Genomic DNA, 23343 nt, shown 5'->3' with positions numbered 1-23343 from the left:
AATAAAATGCTTTTGTTGCTATTTCTCTTTTTCACTCTTTTTTTTTTTTTTTTTTTTTTTTTGAGACAGGGTCTCATTCTGTCACCCAGGCTGGAGTACAGTGGTGTGATCTCAGCTTACTGCAGCCTCCACCTCCAGGGTTCAAGGGTCCCGTGCCTCAGCCTCCTGAGTAGCTGGGGCTATAGGCACACCCCACCACACCCAGCTGATTTTTGTGTTTTTGGGTAGAGATGGGGTTTTACCATGTTGGCCAGGCTGGTATTGAACTCCTGACCTCAAGTGAACCACCCACCTCAGCCTCCCAAAGTGCTGGGATTACAGCCATGAGCCACTGCGCCTGGCCTTGCTGCTGTTTCTTGATTTTTATTTCTAGGCATTATCTACTGACTTCCCACTGTGAAAAATGAGGGCCCAGCTCTCTTTTAAATTCCCCTTCAAAAAACCCTCATAAAATTCCCATCTTGCCAATATCGTGATATTGTCATTTTTATCAGATCAATATTTAGCCTAGCTGAGCCATGTAGTATATTCTGTTTACTCTTCTTTTCCCAAATGACTCTGTTTTCAGTGGTTCTGTTTTTGCTTTTCTTAGTCTTCTGTCATTGACATATACCTGAAGTCTTCCCCGGTTGTGTGCATCATCTCTCAATGTATCCAGATATATTGGGCATTCTACTAATTTTGTCTTCTTATGAAAGTTCTTCTAGAGCCTTCTGATCTGCCCCCCTTGGCACTGGTTGATCTCTAAGCCTGGAGCCCAGCTGTTGCTTCCAGATGTCCCTCCCTGTCCATCATCCTGTAGGTTCCTTTCTTCTCTTTGATATGTTAGAGTCTGTGTTCTGCATCCTATTTAATTTTGCCTCCACCTGGTAGTAGGTACTATTATGGGTTCCATTTTACAGATGAGCCAAACCAAGGCATGAGGAACTTAAGTAAAATTCCCTAAAGTCATAAGGTTTTGGCACAAGCAGCACAGCTAAGCCTCAAACTTAGAATCTAACACAAAGCCTAGACTTATTTTTTTTTTTTGAGACAGAGTTTTACTCTGTCAACCAGACTGGAGTGCAGTGGCATGACCTTGGCTCACTGCAACCTCTGCCTCCTGGGTTCAAGCAGTTCTGCCTGAGCCTCCTGAGTAGCTGGGATTACAGGTGTCCATCACCATGGCTGGCTAATTTTTAGTAGACACGGGGTTTCACCATGTTGGCCAGGCTAGTCTTGAACTCATCTGCATGCCTTGGCCTCCCAAAGTGCTGGAATTACAGGCATGAGCCACCGCGTCTGGCCAAAACCTAGGGTCTTAATGACTCACTGGACAGTCACTGCACAAGCTGGGCCTGTCCGCCCAAGGTGGCTAAGGGCCTTGTGCAGGCTGTGCCTCCCACGCTCAGGTCAGTCTATTGCCACAGTCCTCTCCTAAAGCACTTTTACAGGCCCTGACTCACTGTCCCTCATGGCAGTTTCTTATTTCTGGGATTAGCTGGTTTAAAAAAAAAAAAATAGCTTCTGGGCATGTGACACTATTCTCGGGCCTTTAATGTCAGAAATAATGATGGCGTTAAATTGGAGCTCATTACCACGGAATGAGACCTCATTGAGCCCTCTTTTGGGGGGGTTGTTTAATGATTTTTTTTAAAACCTCCTCAGTAACTCTGACATGGTACACCAGGGGGAGAAGTGGGTGTTTGGAGAAGCAAATTTTTAAATAATAAGAAAGATCTCCTTTCATTGATGAAAGAAAAGGGTCCATCCTCCATTGTTCCCACCAAATGCTGGCTGTTCCTTTGTTACGGTCTCATGGAAATTTCCTGAGCCCCTTAAGCCACTAATACCGATTGTATCCCCAGCAGCAACAACACATACTTAAGGCATTATTTTCAGTGCAGCTTTTCCCGTAATGAGTCTGACAATCCTGCTTTATGATTTGTTGAGTGGTTAATTCAAAATATACCATTCTCTAGAACCAGATTTCCGGTGGAATCCCCGCTAGGCCTCCAGCCACCGGTGCAAAGCTTGGCATATCCAGCTTCAGAGGGCATCTTGGGACCCGATGAGATGATGGGGCTACCCTGTGCCTGTGCCTGCTGCTCCAGAAAGACAGCAGCAAGCCTCTGCTCCTGCCCTCCAGAAGCTTCTAACACTTCACTGGTGAACTCTCAGCACCATGGTGACCAGGAATGAATGCTCATCTTGAGAAAGCACCTGATATCTTCACAGTACTCATGGCTTTCTAAGTTTAAGAGGGATATTAACCACCAAGAGATGCTACAGAGGTGGTGGGGCCTTGAGACCACACCACCTGAGGAACAGGTAGAGGGACGGGTTATTTTTTAACCTGGAGAAGCAAAATATAAAGGTGAGGCATGCCAGTTACCTCCAGATACTTGATGCTTTATTTTTTTATTTTTTATTTATTTTTTTGAGACAGAGTCTCGCTCTGTCACCCAGGCTGGAGTGCAGTGGTGCAATCTCGGCTTACTGCAACATCCGCCTCCCAAGTTCAAGTGATTCTCCTGCCTTAGCCTCCTGAGTAGCCAGGACTACAGGCGTGCGCCACCACACCTGGCTAATTTTTGTATTTTCAGTAGAGATGAGGTTTCACTGTGTTGGCCAGGCTGGTCTCGAACTCCTGACCTCAAGTGATCCACCCGCCTCTGCCTCCCAAAGCGTTGGGATTACAGGCACTAGCTGCCATGCCTGGCCGATTTTTCAAAAAGGATCGTCCCCCTTTTCCTGACTGGCCCCAAAGGGCAGAATGGGAACCAGTGGGTGGAAATGATAGGAAATCAGATTTTCACTGCGGATAAAAAAGAACTTTCCAATAGAGCTGTTGGGAAACATCACAGCTTCCCTGTGAGCAGCTGTGTGTTGCCTTTTACTGGAACCATCAAGAGAGATGAGACGTCCACAGGTATCCTAGAAGAGAATCACGTACTAGGCCATAAGTAGGACTAACAATCTAAAATACGCCTTCTAATTACATGGCTCCATGACTCTAAGAGGTACAGGTTTATGAATCACTTTTAAGATAAGAGAAAGACCTTTTGACAATTTTTAAGGAATAGATTTTCTAGATATAAGATGCTGCTTTAGACTAGAGGGCAGCAAACATTTTCTTAATGTGCCAGTGAGCAAATATTTCAGACCACATGGTCTTTTTTTGTGGCTACTCCACCCCGTTCTAGTGCAAAAGCAGCCAGACGATACACAAACGAATCAGCAGGTCTGTGTTCCAGCAAAACTTTATTTACAAAGCAGGCAGTGGCTGGATTTAGTTTATGAGTGATAGTGTGCCACTGCCTGCTTTGGAGGATGCTGGGTGCTGGGAAGCACAACAGGGACTCGAGGGGGAAAGGCTATGCTAACACCGCACGTATGTGTGAGTGTCACACTGATATACAATATACATATGCGCGTCTTTGCACATAGGGACGTGTATTTGTGTGAGTGTGGTTTGGAGAGTGGTGAGGAGGGAAAGAAACAGAGCACTGGACGCCTGCAGAGAAACAAAACCTCTAAGACGCCGTGGCCATAGTCTGTGCGGGCCAGCTTTCTGTCGTCGTGATGTAAAGACGCCAGCCCCAGAGGTACCCCAAGGGGAGTTGTTCACAGTGTCTGAAATTCTGACTGCTTCACTCTTTTTGCTTTGGGCATCTGCCTTGGGAAGGAAAAGATCGAACTAAATGTAACCATGTCCTGAAGGAGGGAAAACAGTTACTCAGATTGGTGCATCGGATTGGCTGGTTGTCACAGAGGCCTTCTAATAGGGAAGTTGGGCCAGATTGGTGTCTGATGCAACCAGGAACATCAGGAAGTCTTCGACTCTCAGGAGGAAAGGAGCTAGCAGGGGGAGGTTGGGGAGGGCAGAAACTTGCCTGCCTGCCTGGCAGGTTGGCTTAGGGATAGCCCTCCATGGAGCCTCCAATCCCCTGGCAACTTACCCGTGGTGGTGAGGGGGTCATTTTAAACAGGATATTTCAAAAGCGGCTAGTGCAGGGACTAGGATATTTTTGGTTACTTGAGCTGGCATGGTTATATAGTTTCAAGGTGGCTAAAATACTGTAAATTCTAAGTTTCTTGGGGTCAACGTACTTTCTTGGAACCTTGGATTTTCCCAGATCATTACCCTTTGGTGCTGTCTGACCACTTTCTTTGTCAATTGTCCATTCCTTCTAAATGCCTCCCTTTTCTTCACCCTGACTTTAAAAACCTGCTACCCTAGGAATACTCCACACAGGCCTGGATACACATAGACACTTCCTCAAGCATCCAAGAAGACCTGTGGCAGCCATTTGCTGCTGCTTCCTGTTTCCATGGTGGCCATTTTGTCACATCCAAGGAGAGGGCAAGAATAGCCTGCCGCATTGCTTCTCAAGTGCACTGTGTGGCACTGATTTTTTCCAATCATCTCTAAATAGAGGTTTCTCTCCCCCTCCTCCCAGCTCAGCATCCGAGGGCACAATGAGCGTGCCCTGCATTTGAAATCTGACATCTCCCTCTCTCACTCATTCTCTCCATCTTCAGCTTGGCAGAGCGTTTAAAAATTGGTATCCCTTTAACTAGGCGAGCTATTCTTCTGCTGGGAGATGACCTTTTACACAGAAGATAGGACTGTCATACATGATCTCTGACATATGGAAGTTTCCTGGGTGTTCCAACAAGGAACAGTAAGTACCACACCAAAAGCAGTGGGTGTTTATGTGCGACTTGTGTATAAAGATATATTATATTACTATACATGGTTCTAAATAAATTATTACCAGTTCTTAAAAGTACTGCCAGCCCTCTTGAGGCACATCTGTTCAATTTTTTGTTTTAATTGAAAAGAAAAATTTTCTCAGATTTAAAGACTCTTGGGGAAAAAGATGGGGGGAAGATTATTGAAAAGAGGCTATTTTTCCGTGGGTTTTACAGAAATTAATTGTAGTCTCAAAGTTATGAAAATAACCTTTAAAACAAAAAACAAAAAAACAAAAAAACCCTGCCACAGACTTGGGGAGTGAACCACTGAATGGCTTTTTCTTCTCCAAGATATGTTATCCTGAAGTCTTCAACATGACCCCTTGTTTCTTATAAGAAGCCTAATGTCTGATTTTCCCTCAAGCAGAACATTATTTGTTATTTTTTTTGCAAAATGTTAATCTATCTTGTCATGAAGTTGTGGGATTCACAAAGCAGAATGAAATGTGAAATTTCCACAATGGGAGATGAGAAGGATCTGCTCACCTGCCACAAATCCACTGGGTGCTGCTCTCAGCGTTCGCGAACCTGAACTTCAGAAGCTTGTCAGTTGCTCAAATAATGCAGGGACCATGGGTTTTTAGTGTAGCGTGGAAGCAGCACTCACACAGTCTCATACAATATGCTGTGAGAGAGAATGGACTGTGCCAGGGATGTACTGAGTCCTTGCAGTTCTCTCTAGTTTGTCAGTTAAGCAAGATGGCTGCTCTTGGAATGGAAGAACTACTCTCTTTGCTGTTGTTGGTCGCTTTCTCAAAACTACTGGAAAAATGGATCCTGAGAGAATTCCTAGGTTATGCGAGGGAGATCACTAACAGATTTACTCACTGGATGATGCCACCCCTGACAAAATAGAAGGAAATCCGATGTGGCAGGAGGCGTATGTAATCCCACCCTAAGCCAGTTCCAGGTAGCCCATCAGAATTCAGTGATGACAGCCTGATTGTCACTCAGCAACTCCTCCAATCTCTAGAATCTTTTTTTTTTTTGCTTCCACATATATGGCCTGAGTTTCTGATTCTCAGGGTCATTGCCTAAGGACTGTGTAGGGCTCTTGAACCCCTTCTTTAAGTAGCCACCTGTCAGATATAAACCTAGCAATAGGTCTGTCGCTGAGGCTGAAATTCTGACTTTACAGTTCCTAATGTTGGGTTAAGAAAGGAATTGCTCCCTATGAAAATGCAAACACCTCCAGGAGGCTAAAACAATATTAATGTTATGTCCGTAATATTATTTTTATGGTTTGATAATAGTCTTACACGTAACCACTATATGCCTTATCTCATCTCCCTATGATAACTCAGCAAAGCATATATTTAAAAAAATAAGCAAACGGGGATTCAGAGCATTTAAGTTGCTTATTCATATATGCACATCTAGTAAGGGGTGAACCTGGAATTCAAATCCAGATCTATCTGGTTAAAAAACTGGTGAACCTGAGTCCTGTGGGTTTTTTAATAAGGTCCTTTCCTATCTGCTTACTAGTTGAAAGTTGTTTTGGTAAGAGAGTTAAACAGAGAGAGAAAGAGAGAGAGAGAGACAGAGACGGTGGGAGAGAAACAGAGAGAGAAAGAGAGCGAGAGTGAGCATTGGTTACTTTAGGGTCAAGAAGATGCTAAGAGAACATGGAATGGTGCTAAAGAAAACATTACCTGGTATAGTTTCGCCTGAGATGACCTACCCTTCGGTAGTTTCTTTAGTGCTTCTTTGTGTTAGACCAAACCGCATCATTTTGTAACCCCCCACCCCCCACCATTTCACACATCTTGGTCAAGTGAAACATTCCACTGGGGTTCGGGGCATGAGACACATCCTGCCCAGCCACCTGACCACAAGGCACAGGAACATCCTTATCATACCCTGCTGGGAGAAAGTGCAAGGAACATCACCTTCCGTGGGAACAAAGGCCAAACTGCCTCATCATGGCAATGTCTTAGCAATATCATCCCAGGCAGCAAGCCATCCTGCCCAGGCCCCTCCTGCCCATACCTGTGAGTACCCCAGCCTGTAAGCAGTGGGGGGCACTGGCATTAGGCTGGTCCTCCACCTCTGGAGGTCTTATGCTGGACATAAAGCCTGCATTTGCTGTATAGCTGCCACTTCCTCTCTGTGTGTGTCTTTCTTTAACCCTCACCTTCCCTTCAAAACCTAACACGTTGCTCAGTTGACTCGTAGCAGGATTCCTGAACCCTTTCCCAGGATCCTTTTTCTTGAAACTGCGGGACTGTTTTGACATGAGCTGGTTGCAGTTGGAGAGATTGGAGCTGCCAGGGCCTATAAGTGATAGCAGCCTTGGTGATGGTCAAGGCAGCAAGTGCCTCAGCTCCAAGACAGGCAGCCGTTTATTCATGCTCCTCCTGCAGATGTGCCAAAATGTGTCCAAACATGCAGGAGTGTTCATGGCCCTAATTGCTCAGCCACAGTCAGACGGAAAGTTTTAGTAATTTTTCCTATCTGAATTTTTTTTTCAATTGCAAAGCACAAAAATTGGAACTCTAAATGGCAGAAGCAAAAAGGGATGTGTGGGCTCATATAACTGAAAAACCCATGGGAACATCCTGTGGCTAGGGGTAGCATTTGATCAGGAGCCTAAACAAAGTCACCAAGTTTCTTCTCCTTTGTGTTGCTTGGAACTGTCCCCTCCATGCTTGTTCTTTTCCTTCTTAGTGTGCCTTCTTAGCGTCATGAAATGCGTACAGCAGCTCAGATTCTATGTTGTCTCACTACAGATGCTCTAGGAAAGAGAGAACATTGTTTTCACAGAAGTCCCCGCAAAAGTCCCATGGGAACCCAGTGGGTCAGGTGTTCACCCCTGAACCAATCAGGGTAACGTAGGAGGGATGCAAGATGCTGATTGGGCTGAGCCTGGAGTCAGCCCTGCCCAAAGCACATTAATGGAAATGGGAAGAGAGAAATATTTCAAAATTGCTGCCTTCGGGTGAGGAATGAATGGATGCTGGAAGTCAAAAGGCAATGAATGTCCACTGAGCTGTCTGTCTAGATTTGTGGCTGTTGATGAACTAAACAGGAATGTTCCAGTCTCTTCCTTGGTGTATGCTGTGTATGCTGCTAGGCTCCTATCAGTAAGTGAGGCCTATGAGGTGAGAAACAGGGATGTCCAAGACTTTCTTTGATTACAGCTGACTCAAGTTATGTGATACTGCAGGGCCAAGTTCATGCTGTGTACAGGATTGGTACTTAATGTTTAATGGTTCATCATACTTTTGTTTGTTTTGGAAAAAGAGAGTGCCTAAAACCTTGCTTCGCAAAGGGTGTCTCCAAGACTAACTGCATCAACTTCAAGTGAAAGCTGCTCAGAAACATGAAATCCTTGACCTCACCTCAGACCTGCTAAATCCAGGACGTTGCCTAGAGCAAGAGTCTGCAAATTCTTCTGTGAAGAGCCAAATAATAAATATTTCAGGCTTTGCAGCCCATATGATCTCGTTGTAACTACTCAAGCTGGCCTACTGTTAACAGCTCAAAAACAGCCCATAGACTATATGTAAACACAGGGGTGTGGCAGTGTTCCAATAAATCTTTATTTATAAAAACAGGGTGCAGGCCAGATTTGGTCCTTGGGCTGCAGTTTGCCAATTCCTGGCCAAGAGCATCTGACATCATGGCAGGAATTGAATTCACATGGTTGTTGCCTCTGTTTGGGGGTCTACATATCCAGATGGATTATTAGAACGTGATTCCAAAATAATCTGCTCATTCATTCATTTCTTTCTTTGAAGTGTGTTCGTGGAGCACTCGCCATTTGGGAGGCCTTTAAAATGATTGCAGGATCCTGAATTTCCTGAGTGTCTACCACATGGCAGATACTCTTTGGAAGGCATGCATTCTTCTGGGTGTGCAGAAATGTGTGTTTGTGCAGAGCACGAGGCACCGCTGTTTTGTTAAAGACCAGCATCGTTGGCAAGCAGGGTCCATTGTGCCCATCTCCCTGGGAAACCAGACACAGGCTCAGTCATGGAGAATAGAGCATCCTCAATTTGGCCGGATGCAGCTGTGAGGGGCAGAGTTGGAGGGGAGCTAACACTGCCCACCCCCCACCCCTCCAGTTCCTTCGGATCCACTTTCTTGTGCTTGCTCCACAAGGGATTTCGGGAAACAGAGAGGCCTCCACAAAGATGAGCCGCAAGAGCTCTGTTGCTGGATGCGGGGTCCCTCTGCGGTGATGCTATTCTCTTCCCTTTGCAGAAAATGTCAGCTCCGCTGCCTCTCCCCGGCAGCTCTCGTCTGTGTGCGTTCTTTCATTTTTCTCCAGAGATCCCTCCTGTCCAGGATGTTTTTTATTTTACATTTGAAAAAGCGGAGGCTCTGCACGGAGCCTGAGTTACCAGCTCCAGGCCCAGTGCCGCTCTACAGCCTCGGCTTTTTGCCTCGGGCTTCCTAAACCTTGCAGAGGGAGGGAGGGACATTTCTTTGTGCTGCCTGTCACTCCAGCTGCTGTTCCTGCTGCTGGATGGGTGGCCAGAGTTTCCAAACCCACTTCCTAGCTGAGGAGAAGCAAGTCGTTACTTCGTTTTGACCACTGATCACTTGAAAACTGTTGGCTTCACGTGCAGACAAATGACTTGCAGTTAAGTCATTGGGTCCCCAAGCCTTAAGAGAAGAGATTATTCAGTGCAACCCCCTCCTCCCCATGTGGGGATGTGGAGAGCGGCCAAGCATGTGCTCTGTCATCTCCTGTGTTAGTTTAGGATCCCCCTTCCTTCTCAGTTTCATCCCCTGTCTCCTGTGTCCTGCCTCATTTAACTAAGAATTCACCGGTTCCTTCAGACTGCAACAGGTCTTCTTGCCTCCCCTTTCCATAATCAGAGCCAAGAGGGGCAACAGCACTGAGGTGTGGATAAGTATGGCAGGATTTCTCAGGGGTAGCCCTCATCCCAGCTCTTGGGTTTCATCAACCAGAGACACACATTTGTTTCTATTGAAAGTTGAAAAGAGTCTTACCACGTTCTGAACCTCACATACCCTCAAGGAAAGGATCAAGGAGTCAGCTCAAGGACACTTGGCCTAGATTCCATAGCGGGGTATGGCACAGATGTTTTCATCAAAAATCAGCCTACATTTATTGAACATCTATTAAGCCTTCTCTTGGGGCAAGTGGGGTAGTCTGCAAAAACATTCCAGCCAGCCTCCCTGGTTTCCTGATTACCTCCTGCCCCCCCACAATCCATTCCCCACACAGCAGCCTGAGTGGGCTTTTTAAAACATAAATCATATTATTCTCTTGCTGGAAACCTCCAAGGGCTCCAATCGCACTTAAACTAAAATCCATACCCTTTGTTCATTTTTCTGTTGGGTTGTTTGTCTTTTTCTTGCCAATTGGTAAGAGCCTTTTGTAGATTAGAGATATAAGTCATCTGTACTGCAAACATTCTTCTCAAATCTGTTATCTTCAGACTTTGTGTATAACATCTTCGTCGTATAAAAGTTTTACATTTTTATAAACTCAAATAGGTCCAGCTTTTCTTTTATGGCTTCTGAATTTTCTGACTTATGATGGATACCCTTCGTAATATAATCATACCTTATTGCACCTGGATTTTTCTTCTAAGAGGTTTATGTTTTACATTTAAGTCCTTGCTCCATCTGGAATTTATTTCTGTATTTGGTCAGAAATGGGGGACTACTTTATTTTCCTCTAATCCAGAGGTTGACAAACTATGGCCCACAGGCCAGCTGCCTGTGTTTGTAAATAAAGTTTTATTGGAACACAGCCATGCCCACTCATTTATGTATTGTCTAGCTCTGCTCTCACACCATAATGGCAGAGTTGTGTACTAGCAGCAGAGACCATAATATTTTAGACCAAAGTCTAAACAAGCTTGTCCAACCCGCAGTCCACAGGTTGCATGCAGCCCGGGATGGCTTTGAATGCGGCCTGTCACAAATTTGTAGACTTTCTTTAACCATTTTGAGATTTATGCATAGACTTTTATTTTTTATTTATTTACTTATTTTTAGCACATCAACTATTGTTATTGTTAGTATATGTTTTGTGTGGCCCAAGACAATTCTTCTTCTTGCAATGTGGCCCAGGGAAGCCAAAAGATTGGATATTCCTGGTCTAAAATATTTACTATCTGGCTCCTTATAGAAAAAGCTTGCCAATCTCTGCTCTAGATGACTAGCCATTGGTGCCAGCCCATTTTTTAAAAATAAATCACTTTCTGCCCTGTGAAATGAAATTCTGTCTTTGTAATAGATGAAATTCCAATGTATCCTAAGATCTTTCCCAGGATTTTTCCATTCTTTTCCACTCATCTCTTTGTCTCTCTCTCTCTCTGCCCAAACCACTTAGATTTGATTACTATGGCTTTATATACAGCTAGTCATATCCCTCATCACAATTTTTATTTTTCATGCTTTTCATAGCTATTCATGAAATTACCCTACCAAAAGAATCTAAGATATTTTTAACCGTTTCCAAAAATAATGAAAATGTTACTGGAATTCTGATTAGAATATCATTAAATTTATATATGTTTTCTGGGAAGAAAAGCTATTTTACAATATTAAGTCTTTCTATCTGAGAAGATATCTATTTGTTTAGTTCTTGTTTGGGGGGTCTTTCAATAAGATTTTATAGTTTATTCATATAGGTCTGCATCAGTCAGGGTCTGGAGAGAGAAACCACACCAGTAATTTAAACAGGGAAAATTTATGTAAGATTTTTAACTAGTAAAATAGTGGTTAACTACTAAAAGAGTTAAAAGAAGACTCTAAGGAAGATAGGAATAGTAAATGCGAGAAGCAGCTACTGTATCTAGGACTGAAAGAGAGCAAGCAAAGATAGAACAGAGAACCTAGGGTTGAAATTCAGACCTCACTGGTGAGGATAGAGTGACCCCAGGAATATATAACTCTGGGTCCAAGTTCCTCTTGTAGAGATGGGGTCTCACTGTGTTTCCCAGGCTGGTCTCAAACTCCTGGGCTCAAATCAGCCTCCCACCTTGGCCTCCCAAACAGTTGGGGATTACAGGTGTGAGTCCCTGCACCTGGCCACTCAAGTTCCTCTTACATTAAATTTCTCTCTAAGTATTTTTAAAGTTTTTTAAACTTCTTAATCTCTTGTCATTTTTTCCCATTCTCGTTTCTGGGTGCTTAATGCTAGTAGAGAGTGAAGCAATTGATTTTTGTGTATTCATCTTTACTATCTTTACTAAGTTGTCTAATTTATTTGACTAGTGTTTCATTAGAGTCTCTTGGGCTTTCTAGGTATTCAGATATATCAACACAAAAGTGATAATTTTATCTACTTTTCTCAATATTGATGACAGTGACTTCATTTTCTTGTGTCAGTGCGTTTCACTAGTTCTGCAGATAACATAACCATAGCAAGTTACCTATTCTACTGAGCTCTTTAAAAAATCTTGGATTCCCTCTGTTCTTATTTTTTGTCTTGTAAATATGTCTAATTCTGAGAGATGTCTATGGATACCTCCAACTCTTATTTTCATTAAAATCTTGTATTTTAAGCTCTTTTTTCCCTTATATACTTAACTGTTGTGTTGTGTGGTGCATAGAGGTTTATGGATATTATATGTCCTTTATCAGCTGTGCTTTTTAACATTATATAATGTCATTCTCCATTCTGTTTTATACCTTCAACCTTAAATTTCATTTTTTTCTGATGTCCACATTGCTACTTTTGCTTTCTCTTGTGCTTGGTTATGCTTCATCTGTACTTTACGTTTTCACCCTCCTTTGCCAGTTTTCATTGTAGAATCAATTAATGTAGCTATATTCTAGAGTTCCTCCAGGAGTTTCACAGTTACTGTGCTTTTAGTCTCCAAAATTTCTGGTGGTTGTTTCCAGTGACTCTCAGTAGGCCTGGATGCTGCCTTCGGTCAGAAGTAAGCATTGCACAGACACTCTGCAATTTCCATCCTAATTTACCCCTGAGTTGGCACAGGAATTATTAGTGCCCTGCAGAGTAGGATAAGTGCTTTAGCAGTGGACCCCAAATAAGACTCCACCCTTTGTCCCTTATTACCTTGGACATGCCTGACTTTATTTTTTTGCTCATGTTGACCCAACCTCTTGCTTCATGCCAAGACAGAAAAGACCAGCAGGGTCCTCTTCCTTTCTGCTTACATTGATAGCTTCCATGCATTGAGTTCTGGCTCTGTGGAGATAACTTTGCATACTCTATACACATTGTCTTACTTCATTCTCACAAGAATCCTGGGGAATATATTACTGTCTCTGCTATGTGGGTGAAGAGAGTTAGGTAGCCTGCCTATGGAGATACAGCCTGTAAGTAGCAGAGGTGGAACTTGGCTTTTATTCCATTTTATATTGTATGCTGCTTTTCCCTTGTCCAGAGTCTGCCAGCCCACAATACAGCACTGAGATTGGGGCTTGTGGGGTGATAGATTGGGGCCTGTGCTGAGATTGGGGCTTGGGGGTCAATAGAAGTAAAAAGCCAAGGCATTCCAGAATGACCCAATAATGGCTGCTTACCAACTTCAGCAGACTTCACTATAACCTCTACTTGCCCTTAACACCTTTACTCCTCCATGACTAAGAAATCAGGTATTATCGTTAAACATCTGAAAATTCAGTAAAAACATCCTAAAAAATATTTGGGATTATGCAGATACAAGGGTATAGAAATCTCATCTCCCCCTCCTCAACATGCCATTGACAGATCCTCCTTCGTGGGATCGTCAGAATCATCCACACACTGAGTTCTTGGGACTGTACGAAACACTAGCATAAAAGAACCTCAAGGTGTACTGTCTTCTTCCTTGAGAGTTTTACACTTCAGTTAGAACAAGTGCCCCCAAAAGGACAATCTTAAAAAGGTAGATGGCATGAAGCATGGGAAGGTACTACAGTAAGTATCTCGGAAGGTCAGAGGTGATATTCTCCCAGGGAAAGATTTAAGGGGATAATGCACTTGAGCTTGGCATAAAGGGAGATAAGAAACTGAGCAAGTGAAAAGAAAATTCTGAGATGAGAGCAATGAGAGCCAAAGCATGGGGGGAGGAATATGTCACATGGAGAAGGAACAGAGAGCAGACCAAGTTGGTCAAGGACGAGGGTTATGGTGGAAGAGAATACTGAGGTTAGTTTGGTGCAGATCAACCTCTGGTTAAAGACTTTGGCCCTTATCTTGCGGGAAGCAAGAAGCATGTCTTTTATCTTAAATTTATCTGTACGTATTTTTATAGTTTTTTTAACCTTTAGCATTTAACCTTTAGAATTTCTTAGAACAGCGAAACCAGGTACACAAGAGTTACTTAGAGATAGTAATTTCACAGTGTCATACCTGGTGGATTGGAGTGGTGTGAGAAAGAGCAGTTTAGTAACCATATAAGAACAAAAACAAATATTTTACAAAAGAAAAACCTTAAAGGGCCAATCATTTGGTGGGGATGAATGATTAGCTTTATGTGTTATCAAGTAAATGCAAATTAAAACAACTATGTTACCCTTCCTTACTCCTGAAATGCAAAAAGATTTTAAAGTAATGATATTCCAAGTTGTCAGAGGAAGCACGTTGACTCTTTCATAGGCTGTTAGTGGGAGTAGCAGGCCTTTCAGGAAAGAAATGTGGACCATGCTTTCCCAAAATATCTGAGCTCTTTGACCTATTAGCTCCATCTGATGAGTTAATCCTAACTAAGGACATAAGTATGTGTATAAGATTTTTTTTTTTTTTTTTTTTTTTTTTTTTTTTTTTTTTTGAGACAGAGTCTCTCTGTCACCCAGGCTGGAGTGCAGTGGTGCAATCTTGGCTCACTGCAAGCTCCGCCTCCCGGGTTCACGCCATTCTCCTGCCCCAGCCTCCTGAGTAGCTGGGACTACAGGCGCTCGGCACCACGCCCGGCTCATTTTTTGTATTTTTAGTAGAGATGGAGTTTCACCGTGTTAGCCAGGATGATCTCAATCTCCTGACCTCGTGATCTGCCCGCCTCAGCCTCCCAAAGTGCTGGGATTACAGGCGTGAGCCACCGCGCCTGGCCTGTATAAGATATTTAAATACAAAAATCTCCATTGCAGCATTGTTTATAATAGGAAAAAAAAAACACAAAGGAGTCACTTAAATGTTAAGGGATGGGGATTGGTTAAATAAATGGTGGTACCATGATGGTATGTTCATACGGCTGAGTACCAAGTAGCTACTGAAAGTGATGTCTGTGAATGGCAGCTGAGATGGAAAGATGTGCAGAGACAGTGGTGCTCATCTTTACACATTGATTTCCAATACCACCTCTGTCATGAAGCAAGCATCTAAATGTGCAAGGGTCTGTTTCTGTGCTCTTAGTTCTGTTCCATTGATCTAGTTGTCCATCTCTGTGCTGATACTGTCTTAATCACTGTGGCTTTATGGTAAGTCTTAATACCTGGTAGGTCTGAGTCCTCCTTGATGGTCACATGTGGGGGACAGAGTGAAAGCAGGGAGACCACTGGGGACACTGTTGCAGCAATCAAAAGTAGCCGTGGGCCAGGCATGGTGTCTCACGCCTGTAATCCCAGCACTTTGGGAGGCCGAGGTGGGTGGATCACTTGAGGTCAGGAGTTCAAGACCAGCCTGGCCAATATGGTGAAACCGTGTCTCTACTAAAAATACAAAAATTAGCTAGGCATGGTGGCACGTGCCTATAATCCCAGCTACTGGGGAGGCTGAGGCAGGAGAATCACTTGAAGATGAGGGGTGGAGGTTCCAGTGAGCCAAGATGGTGCCATTGCAGTCCAGACTGGGCAACAGAGTGACTCTGTCTCTCAAAAAAAAAAAAAAAGCAGTCATGATAGTGAAAATGTTTCTGAAAAAATTGGAGTTACTGTTTTGCAAAGCCCAGGATATTAAAGGGCAATAATTAGAAGGTCTTACCATAATATATTGGCAGCTTAGTAAAATGTCTTAGATCATGGAGCAACTCTCTGACCAGTTTTATAATTATCAAGACAGAGAAATCAGTTACTCAGCAGGACATTGAATGTAAGGTGGGTCATCTACTATGTCGTCCATTGACACAGAAGATGCACATCCTCCTCCTCACGACTGCCACATTCCATCCGCCTCTCAACCACGCCTCCTGGAAAGTGTAAATCTTCCCGTACGGTTGTTGCCATTATAAACACCATGAATTAAGATTTCAACATTGACTCCAGCCAATGATGCAAAAAGCACGACATGGCTGCTCACACAACAAACATGAAAAAGTCCCAGATGGCTGTGCCTTTTTAGAAGAACTAATAAATGATTTCAGGGGATTTCCTTCCTTTCATGAAAATGAAATGAATTAAAGTTCAGCAAGTAGGTGGTAGAAGCCTTGCTGACATGGCTGAAAAATTCTACGGACGAGCTGAGTGAAGGTCAGAGAGAGAAAATGGTCCAGAACCTAAAAGAATTTTGCAAGCATTTTCTACAATGTTAAAGAATTGTAACAAGTCGGTAATGACCTTCTTAAATTTGAACTGTTCTAGGATTTAAAACTGTACTTCAGCAATTATGATCCAGCAACAGTTTAGAAAACTTCATTCTATAATATATAAAACTGCTGATTCTATAACAAAAAAATTATATAAAATCTAACATAAAAAGGCAGCTGTCTGTATTGTTAAAAAGAAACCAAAAGAGTAAGCTATAACTTATCTTAAAGTTACCTGTAGTGGAAAGGAGGAGGAACAGGATAGCCATGATGGCAAGGAGATAGACTTCTCTGAATATACCTTCTTTTGTACATCTGACTTCAGACATATGTAAATATTTACAGAGGTATAAACCAAAAGTAAAATTTAGAAAGCTATCCTTCAAATCAAAATCAACATGAAATAAATGAACCCAACGGTGTATCCAGTGGATGGCATGATCACAGAGAAGGATCCATCTAAATTATTTTAAAGCATAGTAATTTGATGTACATCCTTAAGGACAAAAAGACCTATAAAAAAATAGTAAGCTGTTTTCAGTAATGATATCGCTGATGGTTGGATTTCTGTTTTCCTGGGACTATTGGGTGTCTAGTGTGGGATAAAGCAAATAAGTATTTAGATTATTATCATGGATAATTGAGATTTTTTAGCATGGAGAAAAGGAGATACAGCTGAAGGATCAATAAAGTTAAATAAAAACTTGTAACTGAATTTGAATGGGAAGTATCAGTATAAACTTATAATGTATTTTATCTTAAATATCTCTAAATGCCTATATAGTTATATCATGTTATATATTATATGGAGTGTGTGTGTGTCTACAATTTTTGCTGTGTTCACTGAAAAGGCTTGGAAAGGGTGACTAACCCATTAACAGTGACCAACCCTAACATCCAAATTATGGCTTCTAAATACTGCTTCTCACTAAAAGGACCCAGGGCTTTTTGGAGAAATGGCTAGTTTCAAATCTCAGGAAGGAAACATACAAGATGAGGCCAGAACATTTTGTCACATCAAAAAGGAAGGATGCATGAGTCAACTTGAAGTGCCATCAGCCAAAGACGACACAAAATGATTATCAAAAATAACTACCATGAATTTCAATCGATTGAAATGCACAGATCAAATATGTTTAAATCCGTGAGTTTATAATGATTCAAAATGAATGAAGGAAAACCAAAACCTCAAGGTAACCAAATGGGGGGAAAATTCATGCAATAGAAGTATTCCAGCTTTATTAAAAAGGAGGAAGAAGAGAAGGAGAAGGAGGAAGAAGAGAAAGAATGTTAGAATTAAGATGCCCATTTTGTGAACCTTAAAGAATTAACGGATGTAAGCAATTATTATAAATAACTATTCACATCAAGAAAAGAGATCAAAGCAGGCAATGAAATCCCTTGATAGAAATCCATACCACCACCTATGACACAGTCTTGCCAAAGAAGTTAACCCTGTCAAGCCATTGGATCTAATCACCAATTTACCAGAGAGAAAGGAGACAGCAGAACATGTAAACACCACCATAAGAATGCAATCTGCAAAATCAGACTGTGTGAAACTCTATAGCACTAACGACCCAGTTTCTTCAACAACAATTTTTTTAAAAACCCAGGACAAAAAGAGATTGAAAGTTCACCACATTGATTAAAGAGACTTAAAAAGACCTATCGACCATTGCAATGTAAGGACATTATTGGATCCTAATTCAGGCTTCAAAAATAAAATGTATAGGACAATCAGAGAAATTTGAATATTGCCTGGATGTTCGATGACATTAAGGAAATCTTTTTAGGTGTGATCATGGTATGATAGTTATGTTTTTAAACTGTATCATTGTTTTAGAGATGCATGCTGAAATAGTTACAGATGAAATGGTAAGTCTGAGATTTGTTTCAAAATAATAAAGTGAAGGAGAGTGGGAGGAATAGATGAACCAGGACTGGCCTTGAATGGCCAATGACCAAGCCTGGCCTTGAATGGCCGATGACAAGACTGGCCTTGATCATTGTTGAAGCTAAGCAGTGAATACATGGAGGTTTGTTATTTTCTGTAACAAAAAAAACTAAGTCATAATTTATATAATTTCATATACTATACAATTATATATATGTCTGTATATATGTTTAAAAATTCCAAACATGTCATTCTTTAAGAAATAACCCACCTGCTCTCTTTTGCTTCACGTTTTTCCTGTCGCCGGCTCCCTCATTTTCTGCGCTAACTGCTTTTCTTGCCTCTGCGTCGATAGGTGATTCTGATGGACCTGCAGAAGGGCTGGAGGATCTGGCAAATCTGCCGCATCCCAGTTTACCCCGTGCATGCTGCATTCCATCCCCGTTCTCATCCCAAGAGTGCACGTACTATGTAGCTTTGATTTTTGCAGATCCTGTCAATCTCATGTGCAATAACATAGCATTTATTTTAGCAGCATAACTTTCTTCAATAGCTTTGTAAGTGATTTGAGTCCAAAGTTTGCACAATCATTAATAGTCTGAAGGGTTAACTCAAAATTTCCAGCTACACTTTCTTGTATTGTGTAGGGAAATCATACATCATAGTAATGTCAGAGATGGGAGTTTGTGAAGCCCTCTTTGTAAATTTCTGAACCAAAGATGTGTTCAGAGGCATGGCCTGAGGCACAGAAGGATAATTTTTATCATGTACCGCCTCATTTTATTCTTTGAACACAGATAATCTCATGCACCTGTCCTTAGCAGAACCTATACTTTCTGCTTTCATTTTTCTTTGGCAATCCAGTTCATTTGGTGGTAGCTCGGTTTTCTGGCTAGCAGGAGTTGAACTGGAAGGGGACAGGATCCCCGGGGAGTTTCCACATCCTGATCTGCTAAGACTCTTTGGGGTCACCCCTGAAGGAATCTCTCATGGACAGGACAGTATTAAGAGGCTCTTCCATATTGCCCCACAAAGGTCCATCTCCTGAGGACCATTTGCCACTGCATGCTCGTGGCTCCTAGGTCAATGGGGGTAGAATGCATTTGGTCTCTTCCTATTTGATCCATCTCACCCAAAATTCCTGACCTGAGAGCGATGCTTCATGAAACATAGCACAATTCGGCCAAAGGGCTAGGAAATGAATAGCCACCCAATTGGTGAGAAGTGGAAGGTGAAAAGCAGTCGACAATTTCTCTCTCTTAAAGAAAATGGATCTGGAGACTTTGGAACCACCCCCCCCCCAAACCTCCTCACCAGCGCCCCACAAATATAAGTCCCCAGGCCCAGGTGTCTCTAATTTTTCACACTGGAAAAGTTAGAAGCCTCAGGACCAGTGGCAACTACAGGTGTGTCTCTGGATGTTCAACTCATTAAACTCTGTGAAAGCAACTTGACAGCATCTGGGATGTGTTTTGTCATTAGGGGTGGGATTGGGACTGTTATTTATTTTAGCCAGGAAGAGGTGTGTGTGAAGGTGTCTGCATGCGAGGGTGTATGTTTCGGATGTAGGTGTCACTGAGTTTGTGTTAATGGATGGCTGCGAGCTTTTTGAGGGTTTCATTACTATTTTTGTTTTGTGTCGGTCCTACTAAAGAAATGCCCCTAAGCCCCAGGACTGTGATTCATGTGGAAATTCTGTGCTTCTCTCCAGTGTCACCGGAATCATCCAAGGTCCTGTCCTTCCTCAAAATCATGGGCCATCTTGGCCATGGTTATTCTGAGCAGCCAGAGAAAATCATCGCTGAAATTTACATTTCCCTTTCCTTTTACCTAGAGGAGCAAGTTGTCATTCTAATTAAACAACAACTTCATTACAGGATGCAAGGAATAAAACCTTTGAATTAACTTTGACTAAATTCTAGTTTAAATAAAGTCTTGCAAATAATTACTTGAGTATAAATTATTTACCCATTAATTCTTTATTTGAATTTGGGGGAATTCAAATACGTTTTCTGGCAAGAGCTTCGTGACAAATGACTTGCGTAATTAGTAGTAAACGTGTTATTCTTATAATTTCTAATGTATAATAAGCAGAGCGCAGATATTTCTGTCTCACATGTTCCTTTTAAACCCTTTATTGCCCTTAAAAAAAAACCTTGTTTAATAGATCACAGACATGATCTTTTAAACTGTTTTCAGTAGTTATGCAAAATCTTCACAAAAGTACTGGTAGGCGGACTACAGGGACTTCTGGACTTTAATCAGCCATGAGAGTAGACAGGATTTAGAAGTCATTTCTCAACTCCGGATCACCTGCAGAAAATGAAAAAGTCCCAGGGAAGACTGCTGAGTATAAAATGCCATTGTGTACATAGACTTTTATGGACTCTGAAAAGCCCTTTGACTTCTTGGAAATAGAAGCTATGTTGGAAGTGGAAAGAGTAGAAAAATTCGCGTGACATGTGCATGTGAACGCAGCACTGATGTTTAGGCTTGAAAAAGAGTGAAGAGGTCCAGGAAGGGGGCTCATAGCCACTGAAAATCTTAACTGCTTGCCCAGAGGGGCTGGGCCGAGACCTTGAATGGGAGGGAAAGGGCATTGCGATCAGCAAGAGAGACTTTGAACTATTTACCAGTGACATTGACTTCAGGGCCCCAAACCAGGCAGCAATAAACCAGGAAGTGGAGCGAGGTATGGAAAATGGGCTTAGCATGAGGATGAAGAAACCATATTTAAAGGAAGCATGATAAAGGAAAGCTCCTGTTCCACAGAAGCTGCCTCTGTGAGCCTCACTAGTGCTTGCTACAGCAAACCAAGATGGACTGAGGGGTACACCCGGTGCACCAGTTCCTTTTGGTGGATGGAGCTTCCTGCCCTGCCTGTGCCACTTCTTATCATTTAACACTGGGAAACTCACTTAACTTACCTGGTACTCGGTTTTTTTACCTGTAAAATTGGAGGTTGGCAGGAAGTGGAGGTTGCAGCGAGCCGAGTTGGCGCCACTGCACTCCAGCCTGGGCAATAGGGCGAGACTCTGTCTCAAAAAATAAAATAAAAAATTGGGGGTTGGAATGACTGACCTTAAGAACCTTTGCATATGCAACATTCTACAATTCAATGATGAGGTCTTTTGTTTTGAGATGGAGTCTCGCTCTGTTGCCCAGGCCGGAGTGCAGTGGTGCGATCTCGGCTCACTGCAACCTCCGCCTCCTGGGCTCAAGTGATTCTCCTGCCTCAGCCTCTCGAGTAGCTAGGACTACAGGCACGCACCACCACATATTTTTAGTAGAGACAGGTTTTCACCATGTCGGCCAGGCTGGTCTTGAACTCCTGACCTCAGGTGATCCACCCACCTTGGCCTCCCAAAGTGCTGGGATTACAGCCATGAGCCACCACACCTGGCCAATGATGAGGTCTTAAGAGAGAAAAACTTGGCTTCCCAAAAGGATTCCAATCAGGAGAGCATTATCTCAAAGAGCTTCTTTGCTCCCTTCATTCCCAAGCATCTTGCACCTCTTGGTTGTCAGCCACCCATACATCCATCACAGATTGTCCAAAAAACAGGGAGGAACCCATTATGTCTGAGATGACTGGAAAAAGAGAAAGTGAAGGACAGACCTGTGGCCAGTGAGGCATATATTGGTTGAGTTTTTAAGCATTCAAGTGCCAAAAGAAAGGAGCCAGCAGTGTCCATGACAGTCCAAGATGGCCCTTTGATTGGATCAGGATGCTGAGCTGTGCATGGCACCGTGGGGATAGAAGCCTCCCGCAGTTGACCATCATAACCTGGTAATCACACTGACAGCCCCAGTATATGTAGTAGGGGAAAAAGTACAGCCTGGAAATTTGAGTTGAGCTTGCATCGTGTTATGGGGTTAGCACACGGGCTTTACTGACCCCCAGCTAGCCACTCCAGGGAGCTCTGAGCTTCCTATTTGTGTTTATGTGCCACCCAAATGACACCCCATTAATGGCACATGTATGTGCCAGCTTTGCCTTGTCCCCACTGCCCTGAAGCTCTCACATGTCTTAAACCTGCCTCCCATATGCTCGAACCTTCATTAATACTTTTGTTCAGGGAGAACGCAGTCTGCTAAAAAATAAAAATAAAAAAATCAAATGGCTTTGATGAGAGGATGCATGTGACTTGTCAGATGTAGCCGTTCTGACTCCCGAAGCTGACACCCAGGTGAAAATGCAGCTGAGTTACAGGAGCATGTGCCAGGTGGCATGAAAGCCATCACCATATGATGATCAGTTTTCTCCCTTGACTGAAGTGTTTCCAAAGAAAGGCTGCTGTGGTTTATCCATTCTCACTGGCACTGGTCTGTTCTAGTTATTTGGCAGCAGGAAGCCGGAAGACTGGGGGTGGGAGGCACTGACCTCAGTGTGAAAACTTTGGCCTTGACATTACAGTTGCAAGTGAGGAATCATCCAATGTCTGATGGCATAAAAGGGATCTTTTGTGTGTCCTGGAGCCATATCACAAACAGTCTGACCAAGCGATATATTGAAACAATTTCATAGGGTGAGTTTCAAAAGATTGGCTCTTCGAATATGCTTTGACTGTAATAGTTGAGAGACAGAGAGAGAGAGAGAGAGAAAGGACCATCCTAATTCTAAGTAATTAAGCTTAGTGTTCTTATACTAAAGAATATCTTTGGCTTGTTAGCACAATCAGAATCACCTTGAACTTTTTAATATCACAGAAGCACAGCCCTGCCCTCCTGATCCAAATCTTCAGGAGCAAGAGCCACCAGCATCTACATTTTTAGCAGGCTCACAGGTGGTCCTGGTGCATGGTTAGGATTGAGAAGCACTGGCATGCTGTTTTGTGGTGGAGCCGGACTTTTTCATCCAACAGCTTGTTTGGTTCTTCCTATAACCTGTGAGGCAGGAATGGTCTCCATTTTACTGATGAGCAATCAGAGAGACTCAGAAAGTTCCACTGCATTCCCCAAGACCACAGATTGTAGCTAAGGCAGCCTCGATTCCCACCATGGGTGCTGGCTTCACGGGCATTCGATTTGTGCATTTGCAAAGATTCTGATGCTTAGAAGCCCGGTGCTCGGTTCAGTGCGCTGCCATCACCATCTTGAAGTCCTTAATGTTTTTTGACAAGGACACCACATTTTACTTTGCAATGGACCATGGAAATTATGTAGCCAGTTCTGCGCCTAGACCTGTGCACTGTATTGTTTCAACCCTACTAAATCCATGCTGGCAAGTAGAAAGTATTTCTCTCCAAAGCAAACCCCAGGCCTGGAGTTGTTAGCTTAAGCGTGATAGAATGGCATTTTAGGAGA

General features: G+C 42.8%; 1 protein-coding gene and 1 long non-coding RNA gene across 2 annotated transcripts in view; one reads left to right on the top strand and one right to left on the bottom strand.

Annotated features, from left to right (window-relative positions):
* LOHAN2 (lncRNA oncogene in head and neck cancer 2) overlaps positions 1-5676 on the bottom strand; it is a 34592-nt gene extending 28916 nt beyond the window's left edge. The window contains exon 1 of the long non-coding RNA NR_038234.1: positions 5227-5676. This is a non-coding gene — a long non-coding RNA (lncRNA oncogene in head and neck cancer 2). The remainder of the gene's footprint in view (positions 1-5226) is intronic.
* The window catches only part of ZFHX3 (zinc finger homeobox 3), a 1109046-nt gene that overhangs the window by 499450 nt on the left and 586253 nt on the right, over positions 1-23343 (top strand). The gene's annotated exons all lie outside the window — the stretch shown is intronic.

Source organism: Homo sapiens, chromosome 16 (genome assembly GCF_000001405.40).
Source record: "Homo sapiens chromosome 16, GRCh38.p14 Primary Assembly".
NCBI lineage: Eukaryota > Metazoa > Chordata > Mammalia > Primates > Hominidae > Homo > Homo sapiens.
The sequence above is the reverse complement of the archived record's forward strand: the minus strand, read 5'-3'. Positions and strand labels throughout refer to the sequence as shown.